At 44.3% G+C, this 19,595-nt stretch overlaps 1 protein-coding gene across 2 annotated transcripts, besides 7 other annotated features; it reads right to left on the bottom strand.

Moving 5' to 3' along the window:
• Positions 1-766: 766 nt before the first annotated feature.
• On the bottom strand, positions 767-15,550 carry AKIRIN1 (akirin 1). 2 transcript variants are annotated; one of them, NM_024595.3, is made up of 5 exons: positions 15,226-15,550; positions 8,515-8,655; positions 5,720-5,854; positions 3,408-3,479; positions 767-2,781 (listed from the first exon to the last, which is right to left on the bottom strand). In NM_024595.3, the coding sequence occupies exons 1-5, from the start codon at positions 15,443-15,445 to the stop codon at positions 2,771-2,773; spliced, it is 579 nt and encodes a 192-aa protein (NP_078871.1). In that variant the 5' UTR covers positions 15,446-15,550; the 3' UTR covers positions 767-2,770. The 2 variants fall into 2 exon arrangements, with proteins under 2 accessions (NP_078871.1, NP_001129747.1); NM_001136275.2 differs by lacking the exon at positions 5,720-5,854.
• Positions 4,575-4,744: an enhancer, noted in NCBI's record as "experimental_7850 CRE fragment used in MPRA reporter constructs". NCBI's record gives its function as "activates a minimal promoter by MPRAs in K562 erythroleukemia cells, with activity observed for both the introgressed and non-introgressed 1:39467839 variant alleles {active_cell/tissue: K562}" and the evidence as "EXISTENCE:reporter gene assay evidence [ECO:0000049][PMID:34662402]".
• Positions 4,995-5,289: a silencer, noted in NCBI's record as "tiled region #593; HepG2 Repressive non-DNase unmatched - State 17:Gen3', and K562 Repressive non-DNase unmatched - State 17:Gen3'". NCBI's record gives its function as "represses a minimal TATA promoter and a strong SV40 promoter by Sharpr-MPRA in HepG2 and K562 cells {active_cell/tissue: HepG2 | K562}" and the evidence as "EXISTENCE:reporter gene assay evidence [ECO:0000049][PMID:27701403]".
• Positions 5,612-6,517: an enhancer, noted in NCBI's record as "H3K27ac-H3K4me1 hESC enhancer chr1:39465981-39466886 (GRCh37/hg19 assembly coordinates)". NCBI's record gives its function as "activates a minimal SCP1, AML or CMV promoter by ChIP-STARR-seq in naive H9 embryonic stem cells {active_cell/tissue: H9 hESC(naive)}" and the evidence as "EXISTENCE:reporter gene assay evidence [ECO:0000049][PMID:30033119]".
• Positions 15,272-15,521: a silencer, noted in NCBI's record as "silent region_691". NCBI's record gives its function as "represses an Ori minimal core promoter by ATAC-STARR-seq in GM12878 lymphoblastoid cells {active_cell/tissue: GM12878}" and the evidence as "EXISTENCE:reporter gene assay evidence [ECO:0000049][PMID:35858748]".
• Positions 15,602-15,821: a silencer, noted in NCBI's record as "silent region_690". NCBI's record gives its function as "represses an Ori minimal core promoter by ATAC-STARR-seq in GM12878 lymphoblastoid cells {active_cell/tissue: GM12878}" and the evidence as "EXISTENCE:reporter gene assay evidence [ECO:0000049][PMID:35858748]".
• Positions 15,602-16,428: a biological region, named in NCBI's record as "OCT4-NANOG-H3K27ac hESC enhancer GRCh37_chr1:39456070-39456842".
• Positions 15,656-16,428: an enhancer, noted in NCBI's record as "OCT4-NANOG-H3K27ac hESC enhancer chr1:39456070-39456842 (GRCh37/hg19 assembly coordinates)". NCBI's record gives its function as "activates a minimal SCP1, AML or CMV promoter by ChIP-STARR-seq in naive H9 embryonic stem cells {active_cell/tissue: H9 hESC(naive)}" and the evidence as "EXISTENCE:reporter gene assay evidence [ECO:0000049][PMID:30033119]".

The raw sequence follows: 19,595 nt of genomic DNA, 5'->3' as shown, positions 1-19,595 counted from the left end.
ACACTTACTTTTTCCTCTTAAGCTTAAGACTTTATCAAGGATAATAACTGGAATTAAAATAGAGAAAAAAATTAGCTAGCTCACCAGATATTCTGAAAACACTGTTCCTGAGAAACCCTTATACGTTTTTATAGGTTGACGTCTTCCTTGGTCTATAATTTCCATGGGACAAAGACATTTCTCTACCTGGGAGTGCCCTTAAATTCAAGCTCTGGAAATCAAGGTCTAGGGAAAAATTCATTCACCAGTCTGAGACCTACCTTCCAGGTCCCCATTTTCTGTCCCAGTTGTCTTTTCTCTAGATTATAAACACTAAACAAACATGTGTGGTCTCTTTAGAGGGGATCCCAAAACCCAGCCCTGGTGGTTTGGTCTTACCTTGTGGCCTCAGAGGGCTACCTTATCATTATATGATAGCCTAACAACAATGTGGTATAGTGGGGCGGGTGGTGAGCAGGTGTCATTTTCCTTAGAGAAACCTACTCTACTTCCCAGCCAGGAGCCACTTAGTTGGAATGGGGACTGACACTTTATAGTTAAGTGAGCACATCACACTGATCTCTAAAACAAGACTTCAGTGGGGCAGCATTCCCCATTACCAGTCCAGCCTCCACAGCTTCTGATGGCTCCCACAGCTGCCCTTTCTTTATTTTGGTGTGACTAGCCCACTGCAGAGCCATTCCCATTACAGCCACTGCTATGTTCCTCTTTTAGGAACAAGTGACTACCCTGAAAAAAGAAGAGATGAAACAAATCACCCTTCAAATACAAAGTAAAATCATTCTTTAATTATTAAAAAAAAATCACTGTTGGGCTTTTTTTTTTAAAGGTCCATAAATTTTCAATGCAATGTTGAACTGGGGAAATGGTTATAGCAGCTCTCACATAAGTTATTTGAATTAATAAACATTATCACAGTATTAAGAAGGCAAGGTAAACAAATAGCTTAAGTATTTTATTTGTTTGCAACTAAGCTTGTTAACACTATATAATGAAAATGTACAAAGAATAATGTTGCAGTTTTTGGTTAGATTTAAGTCAAAGACATTCATTAATAAGGAATCTTCGAATGTGAATATTCCAGAAATTTCTCTAAGCCATCTGATCACAACAACTGTCTCTGAATATTACCTTACTTTGGAAGGTATTGGCATACATTTGAATTAAACTCAGAATTTTTCAAAATAAGCCCTAATTAAAAAAACTATTCTATATTCAAAGTAAAACAATATTAATAGAACTTTCCTTTCCAGAAACAATGAAGGAAACAAGGCATTTTGTAAAATGTGGTCCTGAACAAGTCACAGTAAAAAATAAATGTATACTTAACTTCCACCTCCTCAAAACAGAGGCTACTTTCTGTTCCTCAGCCTTGGAAACAAGGTGAAGAACAGCCTATATGCGACTTCGGGCAGGGGGTTGCCAAAACAAAGCTGAAGCAGTTGACCATGGACACCTCAAAAGAATTTGGGAGAACCCGACCAAAGGATCCAAATTCTATGTTTTTTTTTTTTTTTTGAGACGAAGTCTCGTTTTGTTGCCCAGGCTGGAGTGCAGTGGCATGATCTGTGCTCACTGCAACCGCCACCTCCAGGGTTCAAGTGATTCTCCTGCCTCAGCCTCCCAAGCAGCTGGGATTACAGACGCCTGCCACCACGCCCGGCTAACTTTGTTGTATTTTTAGTAGAGATGGGGTTTCACCATATTGGCCAGGGTGGTCTCGAACTCCTGACCTCAAGTGATCCGCATGCCTCGGACTCCCAAAGTGCTGGGATTACAGGCGTGAGCCACTGCGCCCAGCCCAAATTATATTTTTTAATAACTAATACAAAGGTGAAGTGGCTCCTCCCAAGTAGCAGTGCTGCCGGGGCCTGGCCCAGGCCTAGCCCTGGGCTCACCTCTCATGCTCCCAAGCCAACCCTGATGCTCCTGGCTCCAGGGTAGACCTTTTCCCTTTAGAGGTTCAGTGTCCAGGGAGCTCTATGATAATTGTGTGAATGAGGTGAGCGCTGACTCCATGTGAGTATTTTAAGGCTTGGAGTCAAAGAATTAACCTAACATGCCCAGGCAGAGTCCATGTGTCAATGGCCCGTCTCCAGTTTGTTCTAATTTCTCACCACGTGTCTGTAGATATAGGACCGCAGACCTTCGCTTTATCATCATAATCACATCTAATGTCCATCCTAACTTACGATTCATATTCTGTGCCTGGAAACAGTCCCTGTATTTAACAATACCTACACATAAAAACAATCCACTGTTACAACTTGTATGGTCACAAAACATTAATGATCTTCTTTAGACCAAGCAAATGTTTTTTTACCATAATTGTCGTGCACCAAATTCACAGCCAGAATCCCCAAGATCAAAAAAAAATTTTTGCACAATACAAATAATAACTTAAAATACACATACACACATATACACACACTCTCACACGCACTTCTTACAGAACTGTGCTTGGGGAAACTCCATTTGTTGAATGCCACTGAAGGCATATTTTGCTAAACTGCTGCTCCAGGTATTTTTGTTTGGAAAATCTATCACAGTAGGGCACAGCTGTTTATTGGATGAGCAGAAAAGAAAGATATGCTTGTGGCAACCAGAAAGTTTTACGGTCTTTCAAGTTGTATAAAATGGACCTGCAGAAACGTTTAAGTGTTCTCAGGATGCAAAGTTGGAGCTGAAATGTGACATCAAACCAGTTGCAAAAAGTGTACAGCAGCCATCTCTTGAGGTCAAACCTGGTACCCAGATATGTGACAAAGCTTCATGACACATCTGTAAATTAAGAATAAAAAACAAAAAGGGTAAGAATACTAAAAACTGTAGTGTCATGCTTTAAAAATTTTCACTAACAGTAAATGTGAGAAATAGCATGAACGATGACTCACCACTTAAAAGATACTAAAGATCAAGAATTTAAGGAACCTGACTGAAATTCAGTTAGATATACAACTGTTAATATTTTATGCTTTGAATATCTGGTAGTTGCAAATTATTTAGAATAAGAAATCCTGACCACACTTGATAAACTAACTTAAGGAATCAACTTTCATAAATTAACAACTGAAACTATCTTTCTGGAGAAAAGACAGGTAACAAATTGGTGCTCAAGTCAGACTACCTAGATTTTAATCCTAGCTGAACCACTAGCTGTATAAGCTTGGGCAAATTATTTAACCTCTTTAAATGCTATCTTTACCAGTAAAATGGAGCTAATAATAGTACTCCCTCATAGGGTCACTGTGAGGCTTATATAAGCTTTGGTGTGGATTTAATACTCTTAGCATAGTGCTGGGCACATTTTACTTCACAGGGACTTTTTACTCTGAGGAGAGAAGTTTCAGTGTAGAAATTTTGCTCTTGAAACTTAGAAAATTCAAAGAAAATGTGGCAATACTTACAGCTTGTTGGCCTTGTCCCATACCGTCGCATAATCTGATCATGTGTGAATTTCACAAAAGATTCATATTGTTCTGTGAGAAGACAGTACATACTTATCCTCAGCAACTCTCCCTCAATTTTTAAGAATCAAGCGTCAGGATCACAAATAGCTTCCCAGTTTGAATTCTTCACCCTCTCAGGCCCTCTTTATAAAGGTCCTTGTATTAAAGTCCAGTGACCTTATATAAAGGTCACTGAGATCTGTTCCTCTTAGAACCCAGAGCCAAATCCTTGGCTTCTAGAATGGGTCACTGATGGTATATAATGGTATTTTCCTGATAACCTCTCCCCCGTGACATAACTCTATCTCCTATTAATAGCTCACTACCATAGCCAGGAAATTTCAGCCCATCTCCCATGGGACATGAATCTTTGAAACTCTTTCCTTGTTATAAATTTCAACACACATTGAGTGAAAAACATGAGTGGAAGAAGTGTGGGATGGCTAGAAAGCTAAGTGAAAATCTATACCATCTAACTGCAAACAGTTCCACAGAAGTACCACCTTTTAAGGGGAAACTGAGTAGAAAGGAAGAAGGTAGCCTGACATCTGTGAACAAAGAAGTGACTCAGAACCAGCTGACTGAAACAGTATTATGGTGGGAGTGGGAGAGGGAATGATATATTAGAGCTTCTTCTTTTTTTTTTTGAGATGGAGTCTCACTCTGTCACCCAGGCTGGAGTGCAGTGGCGCAACCTTGGCTCACTGCAACCTCTGCCTCCCCGATTCACGCCATTCTCCTGCCTCAGCCTCCCGAGTAGCTGGGACTACAGGTGCTCACCACCATGCCCGGCTAATTTTTTGTATTTTTAGTAGAGACGGGGTTTCACCGTGTTAGCCAGCATGGTCTCGATCTCCTGACCTTGTAATCTGCCCGCCTCGGCCTCCCAAAGTGCTGGGATTACAGGCGTGAGCCACTGCGCCCGGCCTAGACCTTCTTCTTATAATACATATTAAAGGATCAAAGTAGTTCTACTATAAAGGAACTCATTTAACTTTGCTTAACCCAACAGCTCCCAATGTAAAACAGATCTATTAATATTCTGAGGAACCACGTTGTATGGGTCACCAGACTAGGAAACAATAGTGTTACAGGAAAAAGTTGTGCTTCTTCACTCTCTGATGATTACACAGCAGCAAAGCATGAAAGCTGCCCATAAATTTCTTAATTACTCACACTGTCACCCTAAGCAACAGATCTTGACCTATATCCCATAGGGTACAGCTGAGGACTTTAATCAGAAAAGGAGTATGATGAGATTTGTGCTTGACATAGAGTACTGTGGTTTAATGTGGAATATTATCCACTTTCACTAAACAGGTACTATTTCCTATTTCTGATTCAGATCTCTTTCTTTCACAAAAGGCTTTAATTGTTGCCATCATTAATCACTATCTTTGTTCTAACCTGCCCTAGCCTTGCTTTTACTCTACTGTTCCTCCCAAATCACACCCAACTCGCCACATCCATAACTATGACTTCTTAACTAGGAAGTTTGAATATGTTACTGAACTCTTCCACAACACCTGTTGAGAGTTTAGTACAGTATCACAACCATCTGTTTACCAGCCAGCTAGCCCAAATGGCCTACTCAATGCCTTCATTGATATGGAAAATTCTTGCAAGAGCTTGGTTTGTTTCTTTTCAGAAATGCAAATGAAAAATCCCTCCCACTGGGCAAGGTGTGTAGCACTCCTGTAATGCCAGCACTCTGGGAAGCTGAGGTGGAGTACTTCTTGAGGCCTGGAGCTGGAGACTCCTAGAGCTGGGCTCACAGCAAAACCTTGCCTCTATTTAAAAAACAAAGTCTTGGCCAGGCGCGGTGGCTCACGCCTGTAATCCAAGCATTTTGGGAGGTCAAGGTGGGCGGATCACCTGAGGTCAGGAGTTTGAGACCAGCCTGACAAACATGGAGAAGCCCCCTCTCTGCTAAAAATACAAAAAAATTAGCCAGGCATGGTGGCGCATGCCTGTAATCCCAGCTACTCTGGAGGCTGAGGCAGGAGAATCGTTAGAACCTGGCAGGCGGAGGTTGTGGTGTCAGCCTGGAAAATAAGAGCAAAACTCTGTCCCAAAAAAAAAAAAAAAAAAAAGTCCTTCCATATAATGTATAAATGATGTGTTTACAATCACCAAAGAGTAACTTCCATACCCGCAACTCAATAAACTCCCTTGCATGAGGTCCTACTCTCTTTTTCTAAGTTATTTAACTGGTGTTAATTTTTAACTGAACCCTGTTAATGACAATGGCAGTCACTGCCTGGGCCTACCTGCTAGTTTGGTATTGAGGATTTGCTCATACTCCTCCCGAATTTTATCTTCATAGTCTTTTAAGAGGCGCTCACATATTATGCCAACTTGTCGGAGGGTAAATGTGGGCTGGTCCTTCTTCATCCATGAGGAACCTGGCCAAAAGAAAAAGTGAGTTTGGGCCAGGTGCGGTGGTTCACACCTATAATCCCAGCACTTTGGGAGGCCAAGGCAGGCGGATCATCTGAGGTGGAGACCAGCCTGACAACGTGGAGAAACCCAGTCTCTACTAAAAATACAAAATTAGCTGGGCGTGGTAGGGCATGCCCATTATCCCAGCTACTCGGGAGGCTGAGGCAGAAGAATTGCTTGAACCCGAGAGGTGGCGGTTGCAGTGAGTCAAGATTGTGCCACTGCACTCCAGCCTGGGCAACAAGAGTAAAACGCCATCTCAAAAAAAAAAGAAAAAAGAAAAAAAGGCCGGGCGCAGTGGCCATGCCTGTAATCCCAGCACTCTGGGAGGTCGAGGTGGGCGGATCACCTGAGGTTGGGAGTTCGGGACCAGCCTGACCAACATGGAGAAACCCCTGTCTCTACTTAAAATACAAAAAATTAGCTGGACGTGGTGATGGGCACCTGTAATTCCAGCTACTTGGGAGGCTGAGAAAGGAGAATCGCTTGAACCTGAGAGGCGGAGATTGCAGTGAGCCGAGATCACACAACTGCATGCACTCCAAACGGGGCAACAAGAGCAAAACGGACTCAAAAAAAAAAAAAAAAAGAAAAAGAAAAAAAAGGTTCTCCTAATCAGGTTCACTCACAGAAGATTTGAATTCAGTACAGAGATAAGTCACAGGGATAAGCTTCTACCAGCCTGGTTCTGGAGCTGGCAAGTGAACAAATCCCACAAGTGGCTTTCTGATCATGATAAAAGCAGCAGCCCTGGCCAGGCATGGTGGCTCTCGCCTGTAATCCCAGCACTTTGGAGGCCAAGACGGGTTGATCACTTGAGGTCAGGAGTTCGAGACCAGCCCGGCCAACATGGTGAAATCCCGCCTCTACTAAAAATACAAAAAAATAGCTGGGTATGCTGGTGGGCGCCTGTAGTCCCAGCTACTCGGGAGGCTGAGACAGAAGAATTGCTTGAACCTGGGAGGTGAAGGTTCCAGTGAGCTGAGATGACGCCACTGCACTCCAGCCTGGGCGACAGAGCAAATCTCAAGAAAAACCCAAAAAAACAAAAAACAAAAAACAAAAACAAAAAAACAAAACAAAACAAAAAAACATGGGCAGCAGCCCTGTTCTCAGGTGTTCCTCAAAGCTCAGGCTAAAATCTGTTTCTTTGGCCATTTGTTAGCCAGTAAGCCATTTAACACACTGAAACAATTTTTTGCTTAAACTAACTCAAGGATATTTTTTTCTCTACAAATAAAATCTAACCAAAACATCTCACTAGTCATTATTTGTAACTGTTTTGTTAACCATAACATATCCCATTACTTTAAAATTATATTACTGAAATCTCAAGAGAATAGTGCTAGTTGTAACCACTGACAGGTTTATCATGTATGTGCAAGAGCAATCAGAAAGGGTGCAGTTCCAGAGCCAGGAACTCTGGATTAAAAAATAATAATTTGTTGAGGTAAAAGTCACGTAACATAAAAGTAATCACTTTAAAGCAAACAAGTCAGTGGCATTTAGCATAATCAAAATGTTACACTACTACCACCACTTCTAGTTCCAGAACACTTCCATCACTACAAAAACTAAAACCCCTTACCCATCAAGCAATATCTCCTCATTCTCCCCTAACCCTAATTCCGGGCAAACCCCAGTTTATATTTTGTAAGGAGACATTTTTTAACCAAGGTAACTTTTAACCTTTAGAACTGTTAAGTAGAATACTTTGTGAGGAAATAAGACTCTTCTACTGTTAAAGGAGACAGATTTCACCACCACTGGAGATGGTCAAACACTGGGCTGTTGAACCCCAACAGGAGGCAATATGGCAGGCAAAACTGAGTCACTACATGACCATGAAGACTGTCTCCAACCTTGAGATTCTATTTTTTAGCACATCCTCTTTGACCATTTGTCAATAATGAGCAGCCCCTGTTGAACAGAGCTTTCTGCAATTATGGAAATATCTCGTAACTGCATGTACAATACAACAGCCATATGTGGCTAATGAGTACCTGAAATGTGACTACTGAACCTGAGGAACAGAATTTTAAAAAAACTTTTTTTTTTTTTGAGACAGAGACTCACTCTGTCACCCAGGCTGGAGTACAATGGTGTCATCTCAGCTCACTGCAACCTCAGCCTCCCGAGTAGCTGGGATTACAGCTGCGAGCCACCATGCCTGGCTAATTTTTTTGTATTTTTAGTAGAGATGAGGTTTTGCCATGTTGGCCAGGCCGGTCTTGAACTCTTGACCTCAGGAGATCCGCCTGCCTCAGCCTCCCAAAGTGCTAGGATTACAGGCATGAGCCACCTCAGCCGGCCAAAATTTTATCTAATTTTAATTAGTTTAAAATTAAATAGCCCACATGTGGCTATTTATTGCACCCTGGCTACAATATTACACATTGCAGTTATACAGGAAGATATTCTTGTATTGGGTGGATGGAAGCACATCAAATCAATGTGAGGTTTCTTCCAATTTCATGACTGTATAGTTTTAAAAATATCTGTAAATATTAATACATCCCCGTTAGCAATTCTATTACATTAGAGGAGGCCAATTCTAGATTCATCATTATAAGTACCATTTACAAACTCTTAATGCGAATTTTGCAGATCAAAGTGGGCTTACCTGGAGAGCTAGGTGCTGTGAGTGCTGAGGAGTGAGGTTGACTTTCCGAAGCACAAGCTTCACTCTGATTAAGAACAACTTCTAAATGTCTCCACCTCTGATAACGACTATATTCTTGTTTTATGTTCTGAAAAATTTGCTCTAATAAAAAAGAAACAAACTTGAGCTTTCACTTTATTGTCTCATTTCTTCAAACTTTCTTCAGAAGTGGGAAGAGACAAAGATCTTCTGACTAGACTTTAGATACTCCCTTTGGCATGTAGGTCTCAATCTCCCCCTCCCCCGACATAAACAAGCAAAACGTTTATACCGTACCAAGCACTCCCCAGTGGCTTCAAAGACAGTATGTTCTTATTGCCACTATTTCAACAATGCATAAAAGAATAGCTACTTTGGCATAAACCAGACAGAGTTCCCTTTACTTGTTTTCCTGTGGCAAAGAACACAAGATCTGCAGTTAGCTGGATGGTTAACTAGTACAATTTACAGTAAAAGAAACCTCTGTTTACCTAACAGGGATTATTTTTTAATCTCCTTTAAATTTCGCAATTTCACAACCTAGGGTATTAAGGGGTGAGTCTCATACTGCCCAAGACCTTCTAACAAGGAAGCTCTTGTCCCATATGGGACTTTAAAAAAGCATCTTTGGAGCTGGAAGTGGTGGCTCCAAAGCTGGGTGTAATCCCAGCTACTCTGCAGGGGGAGGCGGGAGGATCCCTTGAGCCCAGGAGACTAGCCTGAACAACACAGCAAAATCTCGTCTCAAAAAAAAACCACAAGGGAGCCTGGGTGATTTATCTAAAAAACAAATCAAAATAAACTTTGGGAAAGGGGGCAGCAGAAACCATTATGTTTACAGTGTGGACATCGACCAAGGAAAGAACTGAGATTTAATGCCTAGAAGTGATGGTCAGGGCTTAGAAAATAATTTTCTGATCCTAAGAGGCAACTCAGTGTGTGGGGAGATTATAAGTCAAGGTAATCACAAAGCAAATTTGCTAACACTATTAAAGGGAGCCCAGGAAACACAAATTACTAACCACCTTGAAATACACTCCTAGAAACAACAAAGAATCTAAAAGGATGTGGTTTTCAAGTTCTTTGTTTGTACCTACTAATTTAAAAAAAGAGATACCTGTATCCATCTCAAACAACTCAAATTATTCTAGTGTATACTTTGCTATAACCACCTTTTTTTTTTTAATGGTGGGAGGTATTAACAATGCCACTTTGCTTCTTACTAGCTGTGTGACTATAACCTTGAGAAGTTATTCAGGATCTTTACTTCTTCAATGTAAACATTAAATACCTACCTGATAAGGTTGTAAAAATAAAAACTAAAGGTAACAATAATGTCATAACAAGTGACAGTACAGTCCAGGAACTGACATGAATTCAAGTGGTTCCACACATAGTCAAAGTCCCTAACTTTCAGCCTAAATACTAGAACAATGTAGGAGATGCTTTAAGAGTGTTATGGGCCAGCTGGGTATGGTGGCTTATGCCTGTAATCCCAGCACTTTGGGAGGCTGAGGCAGGCAGATCACAAGGTCATGAAATCGAGACTATCTTGGCTAACATGGTGAAACACCGTCTCTACTAAAAATAAAAAAATTTAGCCAGGCGTGGTGGCACGTGCCTGTAGTCCCAGCTACTCAGGAAGCTGAGGCAGGAGAATCTCTTGAACCGGGGAGGTGGAGGTTGCACTGAGCCGAGATTGTGCCACTGCACTCCAGCCTGGGAAACACAATCAAGACTCTGCCTCAAAAAAAAAATAGAAAAACAAAACAAAAAAACAAGAGTGCTATGGGCCAGGCACTGTGGCTCATGCCTGTAATCCAGCACTTTGGAAGGCCAAGGTGGGAGGATCACTTGAGGCCAGCCTGGGCAACATAACGAGACCCAGTATTAAAAAAAAGAAAAAAAGCCTGTACATGGTGGCTCACGCCTGTAATCCCAGCACTTTGGGAGGCCTAGGCAGGTGGATCACCTGAGGTTCGAGACCAGCCTGACCAACATGGCGAAACCATCTCTACTAAAAATACAAAAATTAGCTGGGCATGGTGGTGCGCACCTGTAATCCCAGCTACTTGGGAGGCTGAGGCAGGAGAATTGCTTCAACCCAGGAGGTGGAGATTGCAGTGAGCCGAGATCACCCCATTGGACTCCAGCCTGGGCAACAGAGTAAGACACTGTCTCAAAAAACAAAACAAAACAGTGCTATGAAGTTTGTATTTTAGATTCCTGAATTTATTAAGTTTTCACCTCACTTTATTTTTTAAGAGAGTCTTACCCTGTCGCCCAGGCTGTAGTGCAATAGCACAATCTCAGTTCACTGCAACCTCTACCTCCCAGGTTCAAGCAATTCTCCTGCCTCAGCCTCCAGAGTAGTTTGGATTTCAGGAGCCCGCCACCACACCCACCTAATTTTTTGTATTTTTAGTAGAGACAGAGTTTCACAATGTTGGCCAGGCTGGTCTCAAACTCCTGACCTCAGCTGATCCGCCCGCCTCGGCCTCCCAAAGTGCTGGGAATACAGGCGTGAGCCACCGCTAGCCCCCTGTATTTTAAGATGTCTTATTCCTCAAGCCAGAGCCAATACAAGGATAAGAACTGCAAATACTTGAAACAAGAAAGGACAAGTATGAGGACAACGCTTAAGAGAACAGAAGGTCTTTGATAAACCTCTGCCTCCTGTATGGCAATGTTAACAAATGGAAAGATACAATTTTGAGGGTGGTAGGACTAAGAAGTCCAAGAATCTAAACACGGTATCCATGGGAGAAAAATAAGAAAGTTAGACATGATTTTCTTCTGTAGAAGGCCATATAAAGCACAAAATTTTTTTAAAAAGAAAAACTCAAATTTCTTTTTAACAGTGGATAATTTTAATCCTTCCCTCCATTACTTGAGGTTGTGCTGCCAGATTTTTTCCGGTCTAAGCCCATCCTCCAAACTCTACAGTGTTCCTACTGCTACAAACCAAAATTCAAACTCTTGAACATGGCAGTCAATACTTTCCAAGATGTGGCCTCAATTTATTTTCCTGGTTCCATCTGGATTCCACTATAATTTAGTTACATTACATTATTCTCTCCTTAAATTGTGGGTTTTTTGGACTTTGCTCTCATGGTTTCCCTGTGCTCGAAATGGGACTATTGCTCAAACTTGATCAAGACTCAGCTAGCCAGGCGCAGTGGCTCATGCAATCCCAGCACTTTGGGAGGCCGAGGCGGGCAGATCACCTGAGGTCAGGAGTTTGAGACCAGCTTGGCCAATACAGTGAAACCCTGTCTTGACAAAAAAAATACAAAAATTAGTAGGCCGGGTGTGGTGGCTCATGCCTGTAATCCCAGCACTTTGGGAGTCTGAGGCAGGCGGATCACCTGAGGTCAGGTGTTTGAGACCAGCCTGACCAGTATGATGAAACCCTATCTCCACTAAAAATACAAAAATTAGCTGAGAATGGTGGCATGCGCCTGTAATCCCAGCGTTCTGGGAGGCTAAGGCAGGAGAATCGCTTGAGTCTGGGAGGTGGAAGTTGCAGTGAGCCGAGATCATGCTACTGCACTCCAGCCTGGGCAACAAGAGCGAAACGTCATCTCAAAAAAAAAAAAAAAAAAAAAAAAAAAAAAAAAATTAGCCGAGCGTAGTGACACATGCCTGTAATCCCAGCCACTGGGGAGGCTGAGGCAGGAGAATCGCTTGAACATGGGAGACGGCGGTTGCAGTGAGCCAAGATCGTGCCACTACACTCCAGCCTGGGCAACAGAGTGACTCTGTCTCAAAAAACAACAAAAAAAGACTCAGCTAAAATGCTACCTTAATTCAGAAGTTATTCTCAGACTCTCAAGTCATAATCAGTTAATTGCTTTGCACATTACGTTTACAAATATTTCCTGCGGTCAGCAACCCCCTTCTTCCATGTCTGGAATTCACCTAGCACTCAATAAAGATTTAAGCAATAAAAGGCTTAGTTTTACAGGACCTTTCCACAAAAAGTACCATACAGATTGAGCATCCCTCATCCAAAATGCTTGAGACAGAAGTTTTGGATTGTGGAATAGTTGCATTATACTTACCAATTGAACATCCCTTACCCCAAATGAGAAAAACTCCAGTGAATAAGTATTTCCTTTGAGTGTCATATTGACACTCAATTTTTGGATCAGTTCAGACTTTGCAGCATTTCGGATTTCAGAAAAATTGCCCAGCTAATTTTTTAGCTTTTTTTTTTTTTTGAGATGGAGTTTCACTCTTGTCACCCAGGATGGAGTGCAATGGCCGGATCTCGGCTTACCGCAATCTCCGCCTCCCAGGTTCAAGCGATTCTCCTGCCTCAACCTCCCGAGTAGCTGGGATTACAGGCATGCACCACCATGCCCCACTAATTTTGTATTTTTAGTAGAGACAGGATTTCTCCATGTGTGTCAGGGTGGTCTTGAACTCCCGACCTCAGGTGATCCGCCCGCCTCCGCCTCCCAAAGTGCTGGGATTATAGGAGTGAGCCACTGCGCCCGGCCTTAGAATTCTTTTGTGGAAACAAGGTCTCATTATGTTGCACAGACTTGTCTCGAATTCCTGGGCTCAAGCAATCCTCCTGCCTCAGCCTCCCAAAGTGCTGGGATTGCAGGTGTGAGCCACCACGCCTTGCCCACATTCTCTTTTTTTTTTTTTTTTGAGATGGAGTTTCGCTCTTGTGGCCCAGGCTGGAGCGCAATGGTGTGATCTCCGCTCACTGCAACCTCTGCCTCCCGGCTTCAAACGATTCTCCTGCCTCAGCTTCCCTAGTAGCTGGGATTACAAGTGCATGCCACCACTGCCCCCAAAACAAAAATAACTTTTTTTTTTTTTAAGATGGAGTCTCGCTCTGTCGCCAGGCTGGAGTGCAGTGGCGCGATCTTGGCTCAACGCAACCTCGCCCGGCTATTTTTAGTAGAAACAGGGTTTTCACCATGTTGGCCAGGATGGTCTCGGTCTCTTGATCCACCCACCATGGCCTCCCGAAGTGCTGGGATTACAGGCATAAGCCACCTCGCCCAGCCCAAAAATCACTTACGAAGCAGCTACTGTAATGTGAACTACAACCAAATTAGTCTAGAGGATAGTAGTATTGAATAAAACATTTACATTAAACCCATCACTTTATACTTTTCAAAATACTTTTTGCAACTATCTTGAGGGTTCTTCAACAAAAGATAGCGCAAGTATGAACTCCAATTTGCAGAAGTGAGACCCAAAAAGATTATGGACTATCTTTAGGTATCTGCAGGAGCTAGGGAAGAACTAAACATCACTGCAAGTGGCCATCTATGGCGCCTGTCTTTGAGGGTTCTTTAAAATGGACTTTTGCAAACATTATCTCATCCTGTACATAAGGTTATACAACATTGAATGGCCGGGGAATTTAAGTAGAACAGCGTTTTTTATGGGCAGGTTAGTCAGCTAATGGATAAGAGACTTGAAATTACTCTTTTGGGATTAGCAAATAGAAGGGAAAAACATGATAAGGGCACAGAGCGGTGGGTCTGGGGGAAAAAGCAGAGGCACAGTTTGAAAAAAATGTGTAAGAGACTGACTAGGTAAGATATGGTCACAGTTCATAAGTCCTTTGAATTCTAGGATTAAAAAGGTGAACTCGAGTTAAGGATATGAAGTCTGGGACAGCTTTAGCTGGGTGTAGGAATCTTGGTGTGAGGATGAGGGCCTGCAATTTGCATTGTGGATCGATATGCAGAGGAAGGAGGAAATGAAACCTGAAGGCACTGCTACTGAAAAGGGGTGGAAAGGATGATTTTACGGTGAGCCTAAGGTTTTGCTTAAGCTTGAGGAATAGAAAAACACACAAAGAAACGACTTGCCCAAATCCATTATTGAGACGCCCCCCTCATTTCCGGAAGTCCTTTAAAATCGCAGAATATTAATGCTGAAGCACCCTCCCCTCTACTCCTGCGCTATGAGGTGTCTACTGTAACGCCAGTCCTTTTCCTTGGACAAAGTGGAACGCCTTACTGAAGGAGAGTCCCTGTTAAGGACAGTTACATTCTTAGTTCTGTAGAACCTCCGTATGTCGTAGGATTCTCAAATTCTAGCTAATGATCTACCGATTTCAAGCCATATATGGTACGAGGCAATAGCCATATAATAAAAGAACGTGGCCAGTCCCTTAGAAATTATCAGGTTGAAATCGGATTCCGTGACTCTTGCGGCGGCCTCTGGGTTCCTAAAGACTTCTGGAAATCATGTCTCCCTACAGGGCTAAACAGCACGCACTCGCGCCCCTTCCCGGTAACCCGCCCCCATCCCACCCCCGCCCTCCAGGCCAGGTTCGTGAGTAGAATCCAATTTTCCATGGCCCACTGGATCTGCAGGGTTGCTCGGTGCAGACCCGGCCAGCGGAGGAAGGAGGGGCTTCAGCGACAGGGAGGGCCCGGAGCGGCCAGAGGTATTCCCATCTTCCTCTTGGTGTCCACCCCTCCAGGCTCTCCTCCCCCAGGAAAACCTAAAACCGACCCTGTGGCCCCATTACCCCTCCCGGATGCCTCCCATCACCGGAAGCAACCAGGCCCAGCGGCATCCCAGTTCCCTTTTCTCAAGGCAAAGAAGGGGTCCCTGGGTAAACTGGCCTGGTATTCCCAACCCTCCCCCACCACCCCCCCCAAAAAATGCCTGGGCCTGGCTTCCTGCCAAACCCAGAGCAGGGCAGGTTACCCGGAGTTGGAAGGCGCCGCTCGCTGCCGGGCGGGGCGGGCTGCTGCAGACTCTGCGGTGGGGTCTGCGTCTGAAACGGCGGCGGCGGCTCGGCGTCCGGGGGCCTGAGGCCCGGAGTGGGGCCGGGCAGAGGGGCGCAGCGCCGCCGCTTCGGGGAGCCGGGGCTCAGCAGCGCCGCCTCGAACTCCATGGGCCGCTTCAGCGTCGCCCCGCACGCCATGCCGCTGAGGGGCCAGGGACCGGGAGCGGACGCGGCGGTAAGTGCGGCCCAAGAGGCTCCTCAGCCGGGCTCGCCAGCCAAGCCGGCTCCAATGGCGCCTCCAGCACCCGGCAGCGGCGCTGGCCCCGCCTTCTGTGACGTCACGGGCGCACACCATCGCCCGGCAGAGGGGGGCAGGCCGGAAGAGGGTGGCTCTGCGAGGCTGGTCAGTGCCGGCCCGGCCCGGGGCGCCCCCTGCTGAAGAAATGGAACGGTCTGGGCGGAGAGCGTGGTCACCAAGCAACACCGGGAAGGCCCCCACCCCCACCCCCGCCCCTCCCAGGGTCCCATCCCCCCCGCTTTGGGGCTGTCGCGCCCGGGTGGCCCCTAAGGTTTTCGCACCTGCGCTGCGCGGGCGTGGGGGAGGGGAGAGCTTGAAGGGGCCTGGTGAGGGGCCATGGGGGTCTGGTGACTCCAAAAACCTCCTTCTAGGCCGCTCTTGTCCCCATGATAAAAGGGTGATTGTTAAAGGTCATCAAGGGCATTCCGCTGAGCCCTGGGAAGTCTGCACTTAAACAGAAGCGAGTATTGGAGGATGGGCTTTAGCAAGTCCATGAACCCCATGAAATTATTTGCAGATTTGTGGGGTGGGAGCGAGGGTGGGGGTGTTTGTGGGAGTATTTTTGAGATAGCTGACCCATACCTTAAGCAGCTCATCAAAGGGATATGTTACTTTAAAACGTTGAGAACCTACAAAAAGCACCCACTGGCTTAAACCGTCTAAGAATGGCTTCAGAGTGTTAAGAACTTCAGCTGGTAGCTGATTTGCCATTCTTCCCATCTGACTTGGCAGCTCAGGTTCTTCCTCATCTTTCTGAACTCTTTACAGCAATACCAGCTGTAAAGTGCTTTTGATATTGTGGAAAAATAAATAGATAACAGGGGGGTTCTGCTTTCTGAAACTCTGCGCGTCTGTATTTTTCTGGGGAGCAGTTCCGGTGTTTTCAACAGATCATCAAAGGAATCTGATCCAAAGAAAGGATAAAGCCTTTCTGTACCTTCTCATATATACTGAATAATGACCATGACTCCTGGGATCTGTCTTCAACATATCTCCAGGATTTTTCAGGACAGTCCGAATTACAGATATTCACTTCTATTAGCCCATATGCTACATCAATGTGCCACAATATTTGAGTTGGAGAATATGGGCATACTACCCCAGTGCCCATTCATTGTTCTTTTTCTATTGCTTTTCTCTGGATCCTCTTCAGTTACTACAAATTTTTTTTTTTTTTTCTGCTCCTTGTGGAACAGAGCTACCCCATAGGCATGCAGTATGCCCGGAGTAACCTCTACAAATTCTTTAAATATCATAACATAGGACATATATCTTTGCATTTATCTTTGTAAAAATTGCAGAAATAATTCTAAAATCAGCATACCAAATGTTAATTTTATCTCCTCTCTTGTCCATAAGAGCATAAAGGGTCTTTACAATAGGCTAGAAAACTAGAAATAGAAAATTAGGGCCAGAGAAAAAGGAGATCACAATTATCATGGGGTTAAACAAGACTGTAACTGAATTTGAAATGTAGTTATCGGCTGGGTGCGGTGGCTCACGCCTGTAATCCCAGCACTTTGGAGGCCGAGGCGGGTGGATCACTTGAAGCTAGGAGTTCAAGACCAGCTTGGCCAACATGGTAAAACCCTGCCTCTACTAAAAATACAAAAACTAGCCAGGCGTGGTGATGCACACTTGTAATCCCAGCCACTGGAGAGTTTGAGGTGGGAGAATTGCTTGGACTCGCCACCTTGAGATTGTGCCACTGTACTCCAGCCTGGGAGACAGAGTGAGACCCTGTCTCAAAAAAAAAAAAAGAAAGAAATGTAGTTCTGAGCTTCCTGGATGCTAGGGTAAAAATGAAAACACAGTACATATTGAATAGATTTTGTCATCTGAAAGGAATGAATTAATCATAGGAGACATCATAGATTTTTTTTCCCTATATAACCAAATTCTAAAGGTAGTTTCTCATGTGATTTTATTAGGAAACAGTGAATGATTTAATAAAGTAATCAGGAAGATTTTAACAACAAATGCTAAAGCAAAATTCACATGGATACTTTTTGTTATGTCTAATGAAAGCCAAGGACATAAAAAGCAATCTAGTGACGGTTTTTTTGTTTGTTTTGAGAAAGAGTTTTGCTCTGTTGTCCAGGCTGAAGTGCAGTGGCTTAATTGCAGCTGACTGCAACCTCCGCCTCCCGGGTTCAAGCAATTTTTCTGCCTCAGCCTCCCCAGTAGCTGGGACTACAGGCGTGTGCCACCATGCCTGGCTAATTTTTGTATTTTTACTAGAGACGGGGTTTCTCGAACTCCTAATCTCAAACTCCTGACCTCAAGTAATCCGCCCGCCTCGGCCTCCCAAAGTGCTGGGATTACAGGCGTGAGCCACTGTGTCCGGCCCAGTGATGGTTATTTTTTAAGGGGCTTGTCTAATGTGGGCCAAGTAAATTGCCTTCTTATGGTGTAAACAGGTCCAAAGTTAGAGCTTAGAAGGTTTGAAAAGTATGCCCCCTTGGGTAGTCATTCTAAATAGCACTTTTTTTTCTCTTTTACAGACAGGGTCTTACTCTGTCATCCAGGCTGGAGTGTAGTGGTGCAATCATAGCTCACTGCAGCCCTGAAAACTCCTGGGCTTAGCCTCCCAAGTAGTTAGGACTACAGCTTTTTTTTTTTTTTTTTTTTTTTTTGAGATGAAATTTTGCTCTTGTTGCCCAGGCTGGAGTGCAATGGTGCAATCTCAGCTCACTGCAACCTCCGCGTCCCACGTTCAAGTGATTCTCCTGCCTCAGCCTCCTGAGTAGCTGGGATTACAGGCATGCGCCACCACGCCAGGCTAATTTTGTATTTTTAGTAGAGATGGGGTTTCTCCATGTTGCTCAGGCTGGTCTCGAACTCCTGACCTCAGGTGATCCGCCTGCCTCAGCCTCCCAAAGTGCTGGGATTACAGGCGTGAGCCACCGTGCCCGGCCCCACCTGGCTAATTTTTAAACTTAAATTTAAATTTGCTAAATTTGTTGTAGAGACAGAGGTCTCACTATATTGCCCATGCTGGTCTCAACCTCCTGGCCTCCTGGGATTACAGGCATAAGCCACCTCGACCAAGACTTCCATAAACTAGGGATTTTTGTTTTGTTTTGTTTTGTTTTGTTTTGAGATGGAGTCTCGCTCTGTCGCCCAGGCTAGAGTGCAATGGCGTGATCTTGCCTGACTGCAACCTCCGACTCCCGGGTTCAAGTGATTCTCCTGCCTCAGTCTCCCAAGTAGCTGGGACTACAGGTGCGTGCCACCATGCCTGGCTAATTTTTTTTTGTATTTTTAGTAGAGGAGGGGTTTCACCAAGTTAGCCAGGATGGTCTCGATCTCCTGACCTCGTGATCCACCCGCCTTGGCCTCCCAAAGTGCTGGGATTACAGGCATGAGCCACAGCACCCAGCTAAGCTAGGGTTTTGCAAAATGCTTTGATAGTCACTCTCTTCTCTGAGATCCTTTAAAACTTTGGAGTGTGGGCTGGGCACGGTGGCTCATGCCTGTAATCCCAGCACTTTGGGAGTCTGAGGCAGGTGGATCACCTGAGGTCAGGAGATTGAAACCAACCTGGCCAACATGGTGAAACCCCGTCTCTACTAAAAATACAAAAATTAGCTGGGTGTGGTGGTGTGCACCTGTAGTCCCAGCTACTCAGGAGGCTGAGGTAGGAGGATTGCTTGAACCTGGGAGGTGGAGGCTGCAGTGAGCTGACATCATGCCATTGCACTCCCGCCTGGGCAACAGAGCAAGACCCCATCTCAAAATAAATAAATAAATAAATAAATAAATAAATAAATAAATAAATAAATAAATAAGGAAGTTATAATTTGTGTATCTGACTATGCTTCCAAACTATAAATTCCTTGAGAATAATAGCCAGGCCTCATTCATCTGTGTTTTTCCACCCCCAGTACAGTGTTTGAATACAGTAGGGGTAGGTTCAGAATAAATATTGGTCAAATGAAGAAATAGGGCTGGGCATGGTGGCTCACACCTGTAATCCCAGCACTTTGGGAGGCCAAGGCAGGTGAATCATGAGGCCAGGAGTTCAAGACCAGCTTGGCTAACATGGTG

The sequence above is a fragment of the Homo sapiens genome, chromosome 1 (genome assembly GCF_000001405.40).
Source record: "Homo sapiens chromosome 1, GRCh38.p14 Primary Assembly".
In the NCBI taxonomy this organism is placed as follows: Eukaryota; Metazoa; Chordata; class Mammalia; order Primates; family Hominidae; genus Homo; species Homo sapiens.
This window is presented reverse-complemented; position numbering and strand designations above follow the sequence as displayed.

What these genes read in the sequence shown, in the direction of transcription:
- AKIRIN1 (NM_024595.3), bottom strand. Translation starts at nt 15,445, where the DNA reads ATGGCGTGCGGGGCGACGCTGAAGCGGCCCATGGAGTTCGAGGCGGCG. An exon ending in GCGGCGCCTTCCAACTCCGG is followed by an intron (nt 8,656 to 15,225) that starts GTAACCTGCCCT and finishes CTTTTTTATTAG; the next exon opens with AGCAAATTTTTCAGAACATA. An exon ending in CCTCAATACCAAACTAGCAG is followed by an intron (nt 3,480 to 5,719) that starts GTAGGCCCAGGC and finishes GTCTTCTCACAG; the next exon opens with AACAATATGAATCTTTTGTG.